Genomic DNA, 20033 nt, shown 5'->3' with positions numbered 1-20033 from the left:
TGTGTAGAGTACCTGTTGAGGGCTGCTTGGTTGTATGATCGTTCTCTCATGCTTCTGCACAGAATATAGAGTAAAAATTTCCCAAACAGAATATATATTTCTGATAAAAGCAATCTTATTTTTCAAGCCTTGGGGAAAATGACTCACTGCAGCTTTTTATTTATATATCCGTATTGCATAGGTTGACAATCTAGGAAGGGAAGAGGAGTTCATGCTTCATGTGGTACACCTCCAACTCTCCTCTGAAGGAAAGAAGTAAATTGTTATAACAAAGAACACCAGCGAAGTCTTGTCAACATCACTTTCTGATGGCAAAGCCCGGTAAAGTTGAATACATGGTAAGGAAAAATAAATATTCTTATTGCCTACAGGACTTGATATCTACATTATCTAGTTTAGTATTGATGAAATTACTACTAGTGCCATATTTGTAAAAGATAATATATTTTTTAAAAAGTAACTAATGTCCATAGTGAGAAATTTGGTAGTTGATTCAAATCATCTTTCTACTGAGATGATACTCTATTTTAAAACAGATTTACCCCCAGTCTGGGGCTCTTCGTCTCTGTTGCCTCAGAGAGTCTCTTTAGGAAACTCATCCTAAAGCTCTTCTCATCATTTTATGTGGCCTCCATAGCAGGCTTTTTCACTGCAGTTTCTGCCCATAGTGCACACTTGGTGTTTCAGTTGCTCTTGCTTGTCAGTCGACCAGGAATTCAGTTCAGCTTCACTCTTCTATGGCTATCCCATTCAGTCTTGTGCAAACCTATGAATTCTAAGATTTGAGGACACTTCTAGGACACTTCAGGCCCCATAAGTACCTGCTCAAGCTCTTCAAGCTCTATCATCATCCAACTATATTTTATTGACATTTCTTACATTCCAGGTACCTTCCAATATTAATGGCTACAATTGACAGAGCAATTACTATGACCCAGCTATAACAGAGATGCACACATATTGACTCACTGTACCCTCACACACAATCTCTGCAAGGTAGATGCCATCATCATCCCAATTTTAAGATGAAGGACATGAGGTGCAGGTAGGAAGTGGCAGTGCTGGCATTTGAACCTTGGTAATATATCTCAAGTCTCTGTGCTCTGCATCACTGGACTATGTTGACCTTTATATTTGTTACTAAATTTTATCTCAATTGGTAAAAATCTGTATGTTGGTGTCTATTCCAATTTTACATTTGAAGACATGATAACTTAAAAAGGTTGAACACACTTCTCACAGTCCCACACCCAGTTAGAGGCAGAATTGGAGTTTGCATCTAGGTGTAGCTGACACCAAAGAACATGCATTTTCCAGTAAAATAGTTTCCCTCTGTTGTGGTCTCATAATTTTGAAATTCATATGTTGCATTGATTGCATTGCACCTGTGATGATATTTATCTTTCACGTGAATGTTAAAAAGCACATAGTTAGGGCTTACCATGAGCCAGACACTAGATTTGGACAATGCTGTCAACACATATGAGGACAGTCAAAAAGACAGACAGTGGCCAGTCTCTAACCTCTAAATATCAGACATCGAGTTATCACACTTTCAACAAAGAACCTGCACAGTCAATGGGAATTCCATTTGTTAATTACAGTTTTGTAGGATTCTGCAGCCAGGAGTTACCAGGGAGCAAAGAGGAGGCCAAAAGCTAACACAGCTCTGCCTGCCATCCCTACCTAGCCTGTGAAACAGGGCTACACTTTTTGTCTGCCCATTTATGCAAGTTCTCAGAAACAGGGAAGCTTTAAAAAAATTTTTGATTGAAAACTGCAGCTTGGAAACATTTTCACAAAGTCATTGTAATGGCTTTATACTTGATATGAGTTCTACTGAGAGCCTTCATAAGAAACCTCTGATCCTAGCTCAGGAGGCCCTCCAGGCTGATGCTGTCAGTCTTTGATGACCTTGTTTGCTGGTCTAGCAATTCCTGAAGCTTTATAATTGCCCAATCAGCCAGTTTCACATTCTGGCCCTGTAACTCTGTTTTTTCTTGAAATTAGGTAAATAAGTTTCTCTTCTTCGTCTCTCTGGGAACATCCTAATCATTGCTTAAAGACTAAGTCGATTTTAATTTCTTCAGCAAAGATGGTTCTGCTCTTTAACTGTAGTTGATCATTCCCTTCTTCCTACAACTTCTATGCCTGTGTTTCTTATTACTGTATTTATAACTGGCACCAAATTTATATGTTTACATATCTGTCTCTCCTTCTAGATTGTATATTCTCTGGGGCATGAGAGGTGCTATAGTTTAGTATATTATATAGACTAGAAACGGCAGACTGTGTTTTAAGAAGCTTTGAGCTTGGGAGTCCCTTAAGAACTTCAATTTGGCTAGGACTACAAACGTCTGCAAACAGAGTGGTCAGGTCACCAGACAAGAGTCCCCACCAGTGACTTGGAGCAAGAAATCAGATTCCTTGGGACAGTAGGCTGGTCTGAGGCAAGACCCAGTGGTGATGTGATTTTGTGCCAAGGTCCCTGGAGAGAAGCAAGTAACACTAGAGACAGAAACTGGGCACCGGCACCAACTATGAAGACATGCCCCTCAGCCTTTAGCTAGGAGAGACAACCAGACTCAAGGCCAGATGGGAGCAAATGTAGGAAGAGAGCAGGCCAAGCAGAAAGGACTTAGGACAGGAATTATCAGGGCACATGCCTTTGTGTGTTGGGGCCACATTCCTATCGCCTGTGGAAGGTGCAGGGTTAGGATAGGATGGACCAATTTACAGATGGAATTTCAATTCTAAAATCCTGGTTTTGAGGGAAGAAGACCTATTTTTACCTTTGAAACGCATTTTCAAAATCTTTGGTCACCAATGCATGATGAGTTCTGGAAAAAATTTAAGAGCTTACCCTCTGGTGTCATTGATATTACTAGCAGGTTATGGCTTTGCTACACCTATTTCTCTCAGTGAAATGCAGCCTAGCATGTCTTTTAGAACAATGAAAGAATGGATTGCATTTTCTGATGACTTTATCTGATGTCATAAATGAATGAAAGTTGAATGTTTCTTTGAGCGCTTTAAGAAACACACTGAATGCTAATTAGCTAATAGGATAACAGGAATTTGTCCCTGGAAAAGAGCATCGAAGATGAAAACATTGTGAAGAATATTTAGGATTTGGAGAAAGGATTTTGGCTTCTGAGAATGTTCAAGGCCATTTCTGGTTTTATATATTACACTAAAAACCTGAGGGATCCTTGTTTATGTACTCTAAGGGATTGTGCTAACATTTTCCTGCATGGAGGAGAGAGCAGTGTCACATGTTTAATTCATTTCAGTATAGGGACTTATAAGAATTAATGCCAATTGCACTCAGTTTCTGCATGTGCCAGGGACTCTGCCATGCAGGATAGAAGCACATTTTCCTACTTGCATTTACCACAAATTTATGCACTCATTTTAGAACCATAAAATGAATTTGCAATGGGCCTGGGGAGACCTGAAATTCATACTGCTTCTCTTTCAGAAGAGGAGGCCAAGGGCTGTTGATGTTATGTCATTTGAACACTGGACCTGGAATCAGGAGACCCAGGCCACAACTCCAAGCCTGCACCTACAAGGTGTTTGATCTTGAACATGTTATTTAGTATCTTTGAGCCTGCACTTCTTCCCCATAAGGAGGGGAATGTATATCAATCTTAGGATGTTTGTTGTCAGAAGAAAATAAGATGATGAAAACGTGAACATTTTTGATATGATCTTAGACACATATTCGTTGCATTTGCGTCTTCACCCAAGGGCACAGATGCTTATTATTACTTGGGCCTTTCAGGTCCCATCTTGCCAGGTCCTCCATAAAGTCATCCCCGCTGATTGCCCACTTAAAAGTTGCTAAATTAGACCCCTCCCTTCCCATATTAACTTATTTATTTACATATATGTTTACTGATTTCTATATCAGGGACTCTAAATTTACACTTGATGCCAGTGTGAGTTTAATTGTGGCGGCCATAACAAATTACCTCAAACTTAGTTTTGAGGTTTAAAACAACAGATACTTATTATCTTACAGTGCTGGAGGCTGGAGTCCTGAAATCGAGCTGTCAGCAGGACTCCCTGTGCTCCCTCTGGGGCCCCGGGGAAGAATATGGCCCTTGCCTCTCTGTTTCAGGTGTCTGCCAGCATCACCTGGCTTTTGGCCATGTCACTGCAGTCTCTGCCTTTCAGGCCAAGTTGCCTCCTCCTCTGTGTATGTGCCTAATCTCTCTCAGCTTCTCTCTTAGAAGGACACAAGGGATGGAATTTAGGGCTCACCCAGAGAATTAAGGATAGTCTCATCTCAAGATCCTTAACTTAATTATACCTCAAACGTCCTTTTTCCAAATAAGGTAATACACATTGCTGAGATAACGATATAGACCCATCTTTGAGAGCCATTATCAGCCTGCCACAGAGTCCCAGGAAGAATTTAAGATTATTTATTGATGTCCTGGAACAAAATACTTGAACAGCACTTTATAGTTTAAGTCAACTTATAGAGCAGAAAATAATCTTAAGTGGGTTAGCATGGGCTGACAACGGCACTCTGGCAGGTTCTCCTGCCTATCAGTGCCAGGTGACACAGGATGGGTGAGGCGTGCCCAGCAGGAAGTCAGTCCAGGGCACAGACAGCTTCACCAGAGTTCCCTCCTCGCCCTTCCTGACTGATGCAGGATTTTTCTCAGGCTGTTCATGGGACTTGAGATGGGGGCAAACTTTTACTTTGCCTGCCATGCTCAACCCCTTGCGGGAGGGAGCACTTGAGCGAGTGAGTGCAGAACCCGGCTGGCCACTCGGGGAACTCACACAGGAGCAAGTTCTCTGCGGGGCCCGTGACCAGACCAGTGACAAATGAGCGAGTGTGAGACTTGGCCAGCCACTCCAGGTGCCAGCAGGAGCAAGCTCTGGCGGCAGCGCCCAGGTCAGGGCAGCGAATGCCTGCAACCTGCCCCAAGGACCCAGAGCGAGTGTTACAATGCTCCTTTAGTTCCACTGCCTGTGGACAGCTGTGTGTTAACAGCTCAGTTAGCCCCTTGCCTCATTGCATGGGGCAGCTGCCCTCCACCAGCAAGGGCAAAGGGCTGGTGTGACGGCCTTGTTTTGGGTACCCACACTTGGTGGATCCTGAGCACTTGTCCAGTGTACAAGAAAAATGCTTTTGTGGGGGCACTTGAAGGATGGTGAAGGCAAATAATTTTATCGAGTGGTGGGAATGGCTGTCCGTGTAAGGGGAGCTGGAGAGGGGACAGGAAGGGCAGATAATTCTCCCTAAAGTCTGGCTGTCTCTTCCCCGAAGTCAAGCTGTCTCTTCTTCCCCAAAGCCTGGCCATCTTCTCTCTGAACATAAGCCATCTCTCCCCTCTACCAACTGAGTATGGGGTCTTTATAGGCACAGGATGGTGGGGATGGGGCAGCCCATAGGTAGTTCTGGAAAAGGCAACATTTGATTGGTGAAAAGGTATTATTCACAAAGAACCAATCTGGAGAGAGTGGGCAAACGGGAATAGAAGTTCTCACTTTGGGCCCCAGGTTTTAGGCTTTTTGGCTTAAAGGTGGGGTTTCACCAGGAACCTGTCTCTCTCTGCCTAGAGCCTCTATCTCTGCCTCCTGCCTCCATCATGATCAGAGGCTTGTGTCCTGTCATTTGGATTTGCAGAACATATTACTGTATCTGATGTACACAAATCTTCACAAACCAGATTGCTGCTATGAGACTGTCGATTAAAAACAATAATGTAAGTGTACTTAACATTTACTTGTGCTAAATGTAAACACAAGTAAATTATAAGACAATAGCAATGATGATATCTCTCCCTTTTCTGATATACTCTCATCATTGTCACTTGTCCACTAAGTATTAAAATTACCTGGAAGACTAAAATATATTTTTTCTATCATTATTATGAAGAATAAACATCGCCTTGAGTATATTGTGCCCTTAAGTTACTAGCTAATGATAACAGAAAGCAAAAATGAATGGCAAGTTATTAAAATATACATTGTTTATTTTATCTTTAGCTCAACTTTAAACCTTGTTAATTTATTTAATTGCATACATAATATATCTGAACAGAAGTACCTGTATGTTGGAGGTGAATGTACTTGTTTTTCTTATAGAACATGCAATCAAAAAGGTTTGGTGATCGTTTTTCTACCTCCTGTGACTATAGCTTGGGTGCTTATTTGACCTCTATGTTCTCAACTCTTTTTTTTTTTTTTTTTTTTTGAGACAGTCTCGCTGTGTCCCTCAGACTGGAGTGCAGTGGCGCGATCTCGGCTCACTGCAAGCTCCGCCTCCCAGGTTCACGCCATTCTCCTGCCTCAGCCTCCCAAGTAGCTGGGACTACAGGCGCCCGCCACTGCACCCGGCTAATTTTTTTTATTTTTAGTAGAAAGCATGTTTCACCGTGTTAGCCAGGATGGTCTCAATCTCCTGACCTCATGATCTGCCCACCTTGGCCTCCCAAAGTGCTGGGATTACAGGTGTGAGCCACCGCGCCTGGCCCTATGTTCTCAACTCTTAACTTCAAGTAAATGCCTCTTGAATTTGCAGTTTTGATCGTCTCAGTTATCTTGGCTACATTTGTCTTTCCCTTTTGACTTGAAATAATATGAAGTGATCCAGGGTAACTCCTCCAGGATAAGTTCAAAACTTGTTACTAGAATATACTCAAAGAAAGAATCTAAACAAAATACAATTGTAACATAAATGAAAGATTTAAATATTAAATCACTTAGGTCAAATATTGAAGGAGGATTTCTGTTTCTGAGCAATGAATACACATCCTCTAACAATATTTCACAGGTGTTCTTCTCACAAAATTTAGAAAATTGCTTCACATTGTGGATATATAGCTATTAAGGATGCCAGAGAATTTCAGTGTTGAGAAACGTATTTAACACTGTTTGGCTGAGCATGTGTCATCTGAACACAAAGCCATTGTCCCACAGGGCATAATATGTTGTAGAGTGATATAGACAAACAGATAACTGACAGAAGAGAGACTTTGGCATGGATTATAGAGAGACTTTGGCATGGATCATTACAGTAACATTTTACGCACTCAGCTTGCTGGTCTATAAACCTGATGATTTTTCCAGTGGTACTGTTTCACTATTCAGTGTAAATGATCATTGTTCAGCTGATACTGATTGCTGTTGTATCCAACTAGAAACCTACCTTAGAGAGGAATTGTCACTATTGATGATTTGTACCCAATCATTGCCTCTTGGATACTATTGCAGATTAAACAGACTCTTCCTCATGCCCCAATTTGCAGGAGAGACTGACAGAGTTGCCCCCAGAGTTGACATGGTGAGGTGCTTGCACAGATAACTCACTCTGTTGCTCCAGGGCTAAGTTATGCTTTGGACTTGGGCATAAGACAAATCTGTTTCAGACTTAGTTCAGTTTTTCACTGGCTGCCTTATTTCCCTGATAGCTCTGATCCTTAGTTTTAGCATCTGAAAATAGAATACATTTTTACAAATTCAACGGCTACATGAATGACGATGAGAAATCCCTCAGAACAATTCCTCTCCATGGTTTCTTACCTACCGTCATACTATGAGAACTTCAAGTGTTAAGAGTTAACTATTATTTCAATTTTTCATTGTATCTAAAACTATTTTCTCCCATATCTGATTCCTCTCTTTATTGGGTTTGCCCTCTGCATTTCTATGCCCTTACCATGAGGAAAAAACAAAACAAAACAAAAAACGCTTAGTCAAATTAAATTTAACAAAGTTTAATTTAGCAAAGAACAATTCATGAATTGGGCAATCTCCCAAGCCAGAGCAGGCTCACTGAGACTCCAGTGTAGCTACATGGGGGAAGAAGATTTATGGACAGAAAAAGGAAAGTGATACAGAAAGTGGATGTGAGGTACAGAAACAGCCATATTGTTTACAGCTCGGCATTTGCCTTATTTGAACATGATTTGAACATTGACCACCTTTGATGAACCAAAGCTCAGTGATTGATTGGCACAAGAGTAGACTACAGTCTGTTTACACCTCTGTGTAGGTTATAGTTCACAATGTACAGAGAAACTTTTAGGTTGAACTTAAAATATGGAAGGAGGCATCTTTAGGCTAAACTTGACTTAACACATATAATTGGTAATAAGATTCTAAAAGTTTCTATCTAGAATATATTCACATAATAATATTAAAAAGGAAATAATCATGTTAATAAAATAGGTACTATTTATTAAGTGCCTACTATGTGTCATATATTGAGCTGTTCTATATATTTATTTTGATTTGATTAGATTTAAGATTGGGATCCAAAGAGTTCAGAGTAAACTTCACAGTATTAAAACATACAATGACATGAGGAACAATGTAAAATATATGTTGCTTACTCGTAAATAAATTATGCATGAAATAAAAAATCAAACAAAACTATTATCTCAGATTATTTTATTGCTACTGTGAGGCCAATTTGACTAGCTATTTCAATGCACATCAAAATTTTTTGTTGTTGTAATGTTGGTTAAAATTTATTTGTATTGGAAAAATACTGGGCTATGTAGAGAGTAGTTTTCAGAATAAACACATTGTGAAAACTCTTTAGAGCTTTATCAGGAGCAATCTGTAAATTGTGTGGATTCATAAAATAACCACTGCAATGCCTACTGTGACTTCATTGTTGAATCAAGACCACCATGGTGTGAGTTTGAAAAAAAATCAGAGAGGGGCACTTAAAATGCTAGAAAGAAGGGGCATAATTGAAGGAATTAGAGCCTGGAAATTCTCTGAGGTGTAGAATCTGAGGTGCAGGGAGGTGGGTTTCTATCTTTACCATCAGGACCAATGGCTTACTGGCTTACAGTTCAGAGTTACTGTGACGGAAATACAATGGTTACTATGGTAATAGTAAAACAATTAAGCTTAATAAACCTGTTTTATACCTAAAGCTCAGTAACAAATCCAGGTTTCTATAGAGAAAAGAAGTAGCAGAAATGGCAGAAAAATGGAATTGACACATTTATTTCAAAAATAAAACAGCCAAGGAATTCACAGCTTTCTAAAGGAAAAAGATAATATGTATGCAGTCCAACCAAGCACCATGAATTCTTGTTGACTGCTACAGTTGAGCAAGCCTGTTGGTTTTTGTAGGACAGAGCTCTGGGATTAAAGTATTTGGATGAATCCACCTAAACCTCTCTGACTGAATGTGCTACTCCCAGGGTAGGGGCCAGGTCTCTGAACTCATCATGCTGGCTACGGATTCTGGGTCTAGAGGAAAGAAACAAAGAGAAAAAGAATACTAGGGATAAACATAGAACCAATGCATTCTTAGAATACTGAATTTCTAAGCTTTTCACTAAAAAGTCTATTTTCATAAAAAAATTATTTGTCATTTTTTACATAATTTATACATGTGTGTATGATATATACACATGCACCTATATGCACATATACATGTAAATTATATATATACACATATATGTATATATACACACATATATATACATATATATTTATATATATATAAGTTTTCATGAATTCTTTCATTTTTAAAACCAAATTAAAAACTTCTTTGGGCTAGGCATTGCCCTCCCCACAACTTATAAAATAGGGCAAGAGATACGCTGGTAGAAGATGCATGTATCAAAAGGCCGGGTGCAGTGGCTCACTCATGTAATCCCAGCACTTTGGGAGGCCGAGGTGGGTGGATCATGAGGTCAGGAGTTCAAGATCAGCCTGGCCAAGATGATGAAACCCCATCTCTACTAAAAATACAAAAAATTAGCTGGGTGTGGTGGCGCATGCCTTTAGTCCCAGCTACTTGGGAGGTTGAGGCAAGAGAATCACTTGAACCTGGGAGGCAGAGGTTGTGGTGAGCCGAGATCGTGCCATTGCACTCCAGCCTGGGCGACAACAGCGAAACTCCATCACAAAAAAAAAAAAGAAGATGCATGTATCCTGGTTCACTTCATTGTTTTAATGTTATCTCAAGAGACCTAGATCTTGCCATATGATGGAGGCTCAGGTACGTTTGAAATGACCTCTATTTGCCTGATCAAAGATAGGACATTCCATGCTTCCCTTTTGTAGTAGAAAGGAAGGGTAGGAATAGTTAGATGGTATTTATTCTTCAACACACTAGCCCCAGATATAAATTGATGGGAATATTTTTTGATTGCTGGTTTAGAGAAATGAAAAACAAAAATTAAGTCATTGAAAAGTGAAAGTGAAAGCTTTTATTGTCCATCTTGTCCTTGTTATGCATAAATAATATTTCCAGAAATTCAGAAATATAAATGCTTGTAGATAAGTTGAAGGATTATCACTGCTATTCTTTTAAATTTCTACTTTTATTTTAGATGTGGGGTAAATTTTTAAAATTTCCACTTTTGTTTTAGACATGGGGGTATATGTGCAGGTTTGTTACATGGATATGTTGCACCCAAGTAGTAAGTACAGTACCCAATAGGTAGTTTTTCAAGTCATGACCCTCTTCTTCCCTCTCCCCTCTAGTAGTTCACAGTGTCCATTGTTCCAATGTTGATGTCCATATGTGCTCAAAGTTTAGTTTCCACTTATAAGTGAGAACATTTGGTCTTTGCTTTTCTGTTCTCATGTTAATTTGCTTAGGGTTATGGCCTCCAATCCTTCCGTATCATTGCAAGGGACATGATTTCATTCTTTTTACGGCTGCATAATATTCCATGGTGTATATGTACCACATTCTCTTTATCCCAACTGCCATTGATGGGCATCTAGCTTGAGATGGGTCTTGTCTCAAAGGAACCAAGACAGACCGGGTCAAGCTCCACAGCATGCTAGATGTTGATTAGAGAAAGTTTCTCTTGTTGTGCCCACATGCTCTGCTAGGTTAGGCCACCAGCATGTGTGTGCTTGGACCCTGCCCTCCTTACTACATGACACTCTCCCACTTTTACTTTCTGTACCAGACACAAGAGTCTTTGGAGAGATCCTAAAATTCACCACATTTTTTCCCAACTCAGGGATTTTATATGTCTCTAACTTTGTTTAAAACATCACTGCCCCTCTAATCCCATGAGGAGTGGAAATGTAGCATTCAAATCTTAGTTTAAATATAGATGTTTTCTTTCATCTTTATTGCCAATATCAGTGCCTTGATTATTTTTTCTTACATTTACCTCAATGTATAGGGATTCATTTTATATATTCTGTTTCTCTCATTAGACTGTGAGTTCTATAAGGTTAAGAACAGTCTTATCTTCATCCATATAGCCAAAGCCTCTAGCATGATTTCTGGCAAGTTGCTCAATAATATTGTAAAGTATGTAAGAGATAGGTGATAGGACACTCACAGCAACTCCTAATGTAGATGACAATCTTGCTTTATCACAGACACTTGGGAAATTCTCAGGAATACTTAGGAGTATTCCCAGATCAGATCCCCAGAGATTCTGATGCAAAGAACCAGGACCCTCTACTTACTGTGATTCTGGCTCAGCAGCATCCAAATCTCCTGGGAGCTTGTTAGAAACATAAGATCTCAGGCCCTATTCTAAACCTATTGAATCAGAGTCCAAGAATCTTTGGTGATTCCTACACACATTAACATTTGAATAACACCGGTTGAGGATGTTTACAAAATAGTCTCCAACTGTTTCTAATGTTCAGTTAGTTTGAGAACCATTGATCAAGAATATGGCCAAATCAATGGAATAAAAAACAAAATTACTCCCCAGGCAGAACAGATAATATTACATTGTGCATTTCTTCATTTAACACAGCATTCATAATGAGCATCTACTTTAATTAGCACTTTGCCAGGCTCAGAAGATACAAAGCAAAATCAAGAATATTTCTGTCTTTTAAGACAATTTAAGTCTAGAAGTAGGACATATACTCACAAACAATTGATAGCAATAATATGCTAGAGATACAATTGTAGACATCACATAGGCAAGAAAGATGTGCTGAATAGAAAAGGAAGCCCTTTTTACTGGAATCTATATGAAAACCCTTAGGAAACCTACCCTGGTGACACATCTTGACCTGTGCATTGATGTTCACATGTCAGGGAGAGGTACAGAGGTACAGCGACACAGAGCAGGCTGCTGTGACTGAGAATCTGTGACACATTTGTAGGCCTGGCAGGAAGCAAGAGAAGACTGGGAGGTCCTCAATGCCATGTGATGCAGGGTGAACATCCACTCTACTTGTGCAACCTCTGCCGTTGGAGCCCAAGAGAGGAGACTGGTGCATGAACAGGCAATTAAATCGTACAATAACCAGTGCTCGCACAGGTGTGAGCACAGGAGCTCTGGAGCCATAGGGAGGGCCAGTAGCTAGCCTAGGAACCACAGCTATATCCCAAGCGTACCCAGACAATATGAAAGCGAAGGGAAAAGCAGAGATTGCAACACATTTGAAGGCTTAACAATTAGGCGAGGCTTCAGATGGGGGCGGGGTTTAAGGAAAAATAAAAGCTCCCCAGTGTTTCCAGACCAAGTGTAAGGGAGGTGAGGCAGCTATGAATCTGCAAGGTAGGAAAAAGCCAAAGCATGCAGAATCTCCAGTGTCACACAGGCAGCTTGGATTTTACCATTTTTTAGTGGAAAAACTGTAAATGATTTTGAATAGGAAAGCAATATGATCACACTGTATTTGAAATTTCAGAATGACAAATAAAGAATTGGAGAGGAAGAGAAGAGATGTGGAGGCCAGATTGTGAGTGAGGATGGGTCTCAACAGTCCAAACAGGAAATGATGAGAATTGGCCCTTGTAGATGAGTATAAGAAGGAAAGGTTTGTTATACAAAGTACAACTCTCAAACACAAGAATAACATATTCCTAAGGACTTTTCAGGAAAAGTGGGAAGTGTGTTCATGAAGGCAGGAAAATACCTTATCTCATTAACTTTGAGTGCATTTCTTTTCAAAAGAATTCCCACTACAGCTTGTCTGGGCACTTCCAGGTGTACAGAAAGTCTTACAGCTCTGCAGACCAGTGACCCACAGCCTCCTTCTCTTACCTTTGACTGTAATTCTGGACCACCCAATCTGGGGCTTTACAACCCAGGGAATTTGGTGAGAAAGGTGGAGGTGGAACAGGAGGGGAACAGCAGAAGCAATGTCTCCACAAAGTGACCTGACGTGGTTTTCTGATGATAGTCATCATAAACGGCAACGTGAACAATAAGAAGAGGACTGTGGCAAATACTGTGCCTCAGACCAAGGAAAATTGTCAAATCACAGCTCTTTGGTTTAGGGTCAGAAAATAAAGACTGGCTGCGTAATATTTGTGTTTCCTCACCATGGTCAGGAGAATTACTGATGAGTTAATTTCCTAAATCAGAAGATTCCTGAAGTCCTGAGAGAGAAGTGGAGGGAATTTTGTAAAATGCATGCGCCTAGGCAAAGAAAGGTGTATTGAGAAAAAGGAGATTTAAAAACTACAAAAATATTTAAGTTACATGTAAACATTTTTTAAAGCTTAGGAATTATGAAATTTCTGGGAATGTTTTTTTTTTTTTCAAAACACTGACTGTGAGAGCGAGGTGGTAGAGATGAATTTCAAATCCAAAGGATTATCTGGAAGATAAATCTCCATGAGAGGAAAGCTTGTAAAAATGTGAGTGATTGACTGGAAAAATTCCAGGATTGCAAAAATAGTAGTACAAATAGGAGCCAACAACTTTTGCACATTTACTATGTGCTAGGCACTACGGTAGCATCTGTTAGTTAATTTAGTCTTCCCTTATAAGGAGAGTTCCATTAACATTCCCATTTCACAGATGAGAAAACTGCTGAGCTGAAGTAACTTAGACCACAGAACTTGTCAGGGACAGAGCTGGTGTCCTGGTGCCAAAGTGCCTGCTCTAAACAAATGTGGATTATAGTTAGCTTCTATTATGTATTGCAAAACATGACAAATTCAAAAGGAAGAAAAGCTCCTGAACTTGAGGCTACAATTCCTATTTGAAGCTGGGAAGCATATCCTGATAATCCAATCAAATTGACACAAACATACAAGCATTATCAGATTGTGTTTTCTAAAGAAAATCATTCGCATATTGTTCTCCTGTTCAGACTCCCTTAATAGCTATGCCTTGTCTACAGCAGTAGGTACACATGCCTGAACCTGGCTTGGATTCCCTCCACAATCTTGTTAAAATATCTCCAGACTCAATCATCTGTGCATTTTTACATTCTTACCTCTTTCTACACTCTCCCTTCAAAATCTGTGCTCCAGCCACAGAGAATCACTGTTCCCCCAAAAGCACTTTGTGTCTCTGCTTCTTATTCACTGCCACAAATTGGGCATATTCTTCTCACAAGCAATATATATGAGTTTTTATTTTCCTAAAACATCATAAACTGTTTTGGAACCATGATGGGCACAAACATCTAATTCATTTTGTCACACAACTAGTAAGCAGGAAATCTAGCATTCAAATGAAACTTTTCTAACTATAAAACCACACTTTTTCTGTAAATTAAGTTGTCTTTCCTTGCCACACTACTTGCCTCTCATTATCTATGCCATTGATTAATTTCAGTTCACTCATGTTGGAGAAGGAAATCTTAACTAAGAAAGATTTTGTTTCATGACTTAAGACAAGTCAGTTGAAGTTCCAGATTAAACAAGACAGTGATTGAGAAGATTATTGCAGCCTATAATTTAGCATGTCTAGATTCATTCCTATGATCCTATCTTCCAAATATGAATTGCTGAATAACCAAAGCTGAAAAGAAATTATCCAAGAATAAAGCAGTAAGAAGAAGCAGGCAAGTACAAGTTTCCTACCTTGTTCTTTATCCATACATCCTTCTCCCAGTCCAGACTCTTCTTTCAACTCCATGCAGTAAATATTTCTACAAGACCCAACCGGTGCCAAATTCTTGTAGAAACTGAAGCTCTAAAGGTAAACACCCAGAGTGTACTTCCTAGTGAAGTTAACTCTAGAGTAAGGATCTTATTGCAAAAAAAACTTCACACTGCAGAATGACCTGTGAACAACAATTCTGCAAAATGCTTTCTTAAAGAGGTTGATCCCACAGTCTAATAAGCCTGGGAAATGCTATGTGCTCTTAGCTCTTCCTTGGTATTTGTTGTAAATATTGTCATGCGTGTCCATATAGAAGACCACCTAAACAGGCTTTGTGTAAGCAGCAAGGCTGTTTATTCACTCGGATGCAAGTGGGCTGAGTCCAAAAAGACAGTCAGTGAAGGGAGATAAGAGAGGGGCAGCTTTATAGGACTGGGGTAGGCAGTGGAAAGTTAGAGTTAAAGGTGGTTATCTGTTGTCAGCACGGGAGGGGGTCACAAGGTGCATGGTGGAGAGATCATGAGACTCATTGTCCAGGAGAATTGATTGGATGGATTGATCAGTTAGGGTAGGGCAGGGACAAGTCCTAGTGGTGGAATGTTGTAAGGTGGGTTAATCAGTTAAGGCAGAAACCGGTTGTTTCACTTCTTTTGTGGTTTTTCAGCTGCTCCCGACTTCTTGGCTCCTGCAGGCCATCGGGATGTATATGTGCAGGTCGCAGGGGTTACAATGGCTGAGCTTCGGCTCAGAGGCCTGACAAATATTAGCTGATTAAATATCTTGCAGTGATAAAAATCTGTTTTGCTTTACTTAGCTCTGAACTGACTAAAACCCTATGACTACAGACACTTCTGTTTTCCCCTATGCAACATTTAGTAACATTCTATGGAATTAGAGTTCGTTCAAATACATTTGAGGCAACAGTAGCCAAAAATATTTTAACAGCCTCATAATCAATATCTGTCTCTTTTTTTCTCCTTCTTCAGACAGTTACTTACACTATTGCCAAGGTTGTCTTCCTCAAATAATTCAGATTATAGAATTTATGCCATGTATACACATGCACACACACACAGGCACACAATTTCAAATCAAACACACAAAAACAAGAAATCCAAGGTCTACCATTTGATAGTAAATTCTAATGCATCATCAGAGCCTTTTAGGCTTTTTTTTCTGTCAAAAATGTTTCTTCAGTTTTATGAACTATTGTTTTCTTCATCTTAACTCAGTGACATGGTATTATCTACCATTCCCACCAAGCCACCAGGCCACACCCTTGATGTTGGTTACTATGGTATTACTCTCTTCCATCTCTGCCTTTAGAGACTCCATGTACTCTGCTACAAACCAGGCCAAGAACTTTCATGAAATCATTCTTGATCCCCACCACCTTAAGTAAGCAGTCCCCCTCCTGTGCTTCCATTGTCTATGCCACTGGTTCTTCTCACAGTCTATGCCACTGATTAATTTCAGGTCACTCATGTTAGAGAAGAAGGTAATTGTGACTAAGAAAGATTTTCTTTGATGACTTTTTAAGACAAGTCAGTTGAAGTTCCAGATTAAACAAGACAAGTGGTTGAGGAGATTATTGCAGCCTATGATTTAGCATATCTAGATTTTTTCCTATGATCCTGTCTTCCAAATACAATTGTTGACTAACAAAAGATGAAAAGAAATTATCTAAGAATGACATAGTATAAAGAACTCTAAAGTAGTATAAAGAACTCTTCTTGGTCCTTTTCTTGAAGAATGCAACACATCCTGCATCACTCACTGATACTCTCTTTCTCTTTTTCTGCTGGCCCCTTGAAGGGTACGGTGCATGAGCTAGCAGCATGGTGCCCTGGCTTCACCACCTGTCTTGTGTGAAAGTCCCCATCCTGGGGCATCAAGGCTGCTTAGCCGACTAACGATCCTTGGAAATGGATCCCAACTCTGGGGTAATACAGAATATCATCTTGCCTGGGGAATGTGATTTGTCTCCCTTTCCATTTCCAAATAACAAAAGTAAAAAAAAACCCTCTCATTCGTAAAATAAAAATGGGTTATATTCAATCTTAAAACGAGATATAAGATTGAAATGTAATCAATATTAGCTCTGGTGATGTCAAGTTCCTGACTGGCCAATCAGGTCTATTGGTCTCTCAGGAAGCTTCTTTTCTGTCATTGCTGTGTAACAGCCCTCTTGTACAGCCTCTGTTCAGAAAACAGCCAGGAAATACATCCAAGTTCAGATACCTTCCAGCAAGACTGTAGGTTAAGGATGACTGTGCATAGAGTCAGGTCCAAGTGTCAAGGAGAAGCCAGCTTTGTGAGGTAAGAGTGACTTCTGTCACTCAGCTATCAGATATTTCCTTCTCATAAAGTGGACATATCTGAAAATATTTAGTTAATAAAAAGTGTAAGGTAAAGTTCCTTGAGTAGTTACTATCTGTGCGGGGGCAAGAGGCAGAAGAAGAAAGACCTGAGCTCAAAGAAGTTACCTAATTTCCCTAAGATTACAGAACTAGCCACTGTTAAAGTGGAGTGTGGTATCCAGGTGTGTGGCTCCAAACTCTGTGCCCATAACGGTGATCCTCTCCAAGACCACTGCAAGTTCAGGCGAGAAAGACAGGATGCTCCGAAGTGTGCTGTTGGACTGAACATCCAGGAAGGTTTTTTGAGTAAATAAAACCAAGTATTTTCTTGGAAGTTGGCTAAATGCAACTTTCCTGCGTGATATAGTTAGACACATGATTTTGCTTGAGTTGCTGTACATTATACCACCAAAGTGGGGGGGAAAGTCTGGGTTTGAAATGCCAGTGCCTGTTTCAATGTAAATTCTCCATATGTTCAGTAAAGTACATTGACTTCCAAGTAATAGTTTACTTTTGACTTGATATGTATTGACTCATGCCTACTAGGGACTTATTGTTTTCAGTAAATACTCTGTGAAATGTTTTCTCACTTAGCTAAAAAGATAGCTTAGCCTTCAGCAAGATTTTTTGTTTTCCATTTCAAGTAGAAAAAAATTTGGTCCTGTTGCCCATTCTCAAAATTGATCTGAAACCATTCATTTTAAGTGTCTATAATCTAAAGACCTAAGGGAGAAAACGTTATTTAAAAAAACAATATTGCCAATTTAGAAAGGAATATAATATTTACTACCACGTTAATATAAATACAAAACTATACTTAATATTACCCCAAATATGTAAAATTAGCAAATAAAAATAATTGTAAAAAGATATTAAAAATGGATCAGACCTTCATATACATGAGGATTATTATCTGATTAATTTCCAAATGAATACCAAAAAAAAACATTTAGATAGGCTGTTGTTTGGTCCCAAGTATGTATTTCCATTAAGAGCTTTGTTTACTTTGTTTCTCTTTATACACCATGAACCAACTTCAAAACTTTCATTCATACTGTATCACTCGCTAAGTCACTGTATTTTCAAAAAAGAAATAAGGCTTTTCCCTCACACATTTATAATTACTCTGTTTCTGACACTGAATGGACCAAAAACACATTCTCATATTGAAATAAGCATGTTGGGGTATTGGCCAGTGTCCAGGACAGAAAATTGTTTTCCCATATGGCAGCTTAATTCTAATTCACATCCTAGGAAAATTGCAGCTACCAAATCAAGCTAATTTTGTTATTTTATCCAAGTAGTTAAAATTATGTTAATTTTAAAATTTTAAGTATCTTCTCTACAACAACATGTTAATAGTAGCTATCCACAGATACTGGGATGATGGGAAAAATATTTTTTTTTCTTTCTGCTATTGTTCTGAGCTTTCAATTTTCCTTATCAGTTGACTTAAATAAGATCACTTTAAAATAAAGAGAAGTTTAAAAAAACCTAGGACTTTACATTTTAATTAGGGGATATCGAAGAGATTCTTCAACATGGTTTATTAATACATATATCATTGCATTTTATATCATATTTATATACCATTGCATTAGAAACAGATATTTTACAGATATTCCATAACTGCTTTAGACATGGAGTGCAGCCTATAAAGTGTAGTTACAGCTTCTGATGAGCAGGAATCTAGAATTAGCATCCCTATTACCATCAAAAAGGGATTTTGTAGGGGTTATTTGCAGACTTCTCTGTGCCCCATTCCCTGTGCTCAATTCCTTGTCTTTCTGCTCTTCTGTTCTCTATTACAGAAACTACATTTCCCAAGATCCTTTGCCAACTGGCTCGCCATGAGATTCAGCCAACGGTAGGTACTAACGGATGATTTGAAGTCTGGAGAAGGGCCATCTTATGGGAGCATGTTTCCTTCCCTCTCTGCCTCAGCTTGTGTCATCTGGAGAAGAGCTCGTCTGTCCTCTAGTATGTCCCAGGGCTTGCTCCAATCACGTTGAAGTCCAGCTTCCACTAGCTGGCCCTTGCTCCCAGTTTCCAACAACACTGTCTGCTCTTCTGCTTCCTCCATTTTGGGGTGCAGTAGTTTCCTGTTTGGGTCATTGCTAAGACCCTATTTGCTTTCTCTGGTTTTCCATCACCATATGACCAATTTTCTGCATTAAATTTATTCTGTTCCAAGTATTTAGATTGGTTTCTTTCTTCTGACGAGACCCAGGCACATACAGTGGTCATTTTTGTCATATTCTATGGCCACCATAGAGATTGTGTCATCGCCACTTTCTTCTAAATTTATGAAGCAAGAACGTATTCCATATGTGCACTGATTATTTTAAGTCTACCACTTACTGAGCAGCCACTGTGCACCAGGTATTGTAATGGATGCCATCCAGCCTATTTCTCTTCAGCCTCACTGCAAGACACAGCTGTCCTCATTCTCTTTATTCCAGACATGTTGGTTTTCTTTCAGGTCACCAAAATAACACATTTGTTTCTACTCAATGCCTTTACACATGCTATTCCCTGTGTGGCATGGAGGAATGGTTCCCAATCCCAGAAATGATCCTCACTTATTCTATATGTCTCAAGTTAAAATATTACATCTCTAGGTAGGCCTTCCTGACCCTAGACTGTTAATGTTTTCCTGCTGTACACTGCCATTTTACCATGTACTTGCCCCCTTGTGGTAGTTTCAAAGTTAATTAACTTACTGTACAGTTTGTATTTTAATATCTCATTGTATCTGTTAAAATGTATGACCAATCGCTGGGCACGGTGGCTTACGCCTGTAATCCCAACAAATTGGGAGGCCAAGGCAGGTGGATCACCTGAGGTCAGGAGTTCAAGACCAGCCTGTCCAACTTGGTGAAACCTTGTCTCTACTAAA

At 39.5% G+C, this 20033-nt stretch overlaps 3 long non-coding RNA genes across 5 annotated transcripts in view; 2 read left to right on the top strand and 1 right to left on the bottom strand.

The window, feature by feature from the left end:
• The window catches only part of LOC124900611 (uncharacterized), an 85494-nt gene extending 85234 nt beyond the window's left edge, over positions 1 to 260 (top strand). For both annotated transcript variants that reach the window (XR_923296.2, XR_923297.3), the window contains exon 3: positions 182 to 260. This is a non-coding gene — a long non-coding RNA (uncharacterized LOC124900611). The remainder of the gene's footprint in view (positions 1 to 181) is intronic.
• Positions 1 to 15173, bottom strand: part of LINC01889 (long intergenic non-protein coding RNA 1889) — an 82638-nt gene extending 67465 nt beyond the window's left edge. For both annotated transcript variants that reach the window (XR_923294.3, XR_923295.3), the window contains exon 1: positions 14753 to 15173. This is a non-coding gene — a long non-coding RNA (long intergenic non-protein coding RNA 1889). The remainder of the gene's footprint in view (positions 1 to 14752) is intronic.
• Positions 252 to 19330, top strand: LOC105373598 (uncharacterized). Its single transcript, XR_007088679.1, has 2 exons — positions 252 to 338; positions 18946 to 19330. It is a non-coding gene; the product is annotated as an uncharacterized LOC105373598 (long non-coding RNA).
• The last annotated feature ends 703 nt before the right edge of the window (positions 19331 to 20033 follow it).

Source organism: Homo sapiens, chromosome 2 (genome assembly GCF_000001405.40).
Source record: "Homo sapiens chromosome 2, GRCh38.p14 Primary Assembly".
Classification (NCBI taxonomy): domain Eukaryota; kingdom Metazoa; phylum Chordata; class Mammalia; order Primates; family Hominidae; genus Homo; species Homo sapiens.
This window is presented reverse-complemented; position numbering and strand designations above follow the sequence as displayed.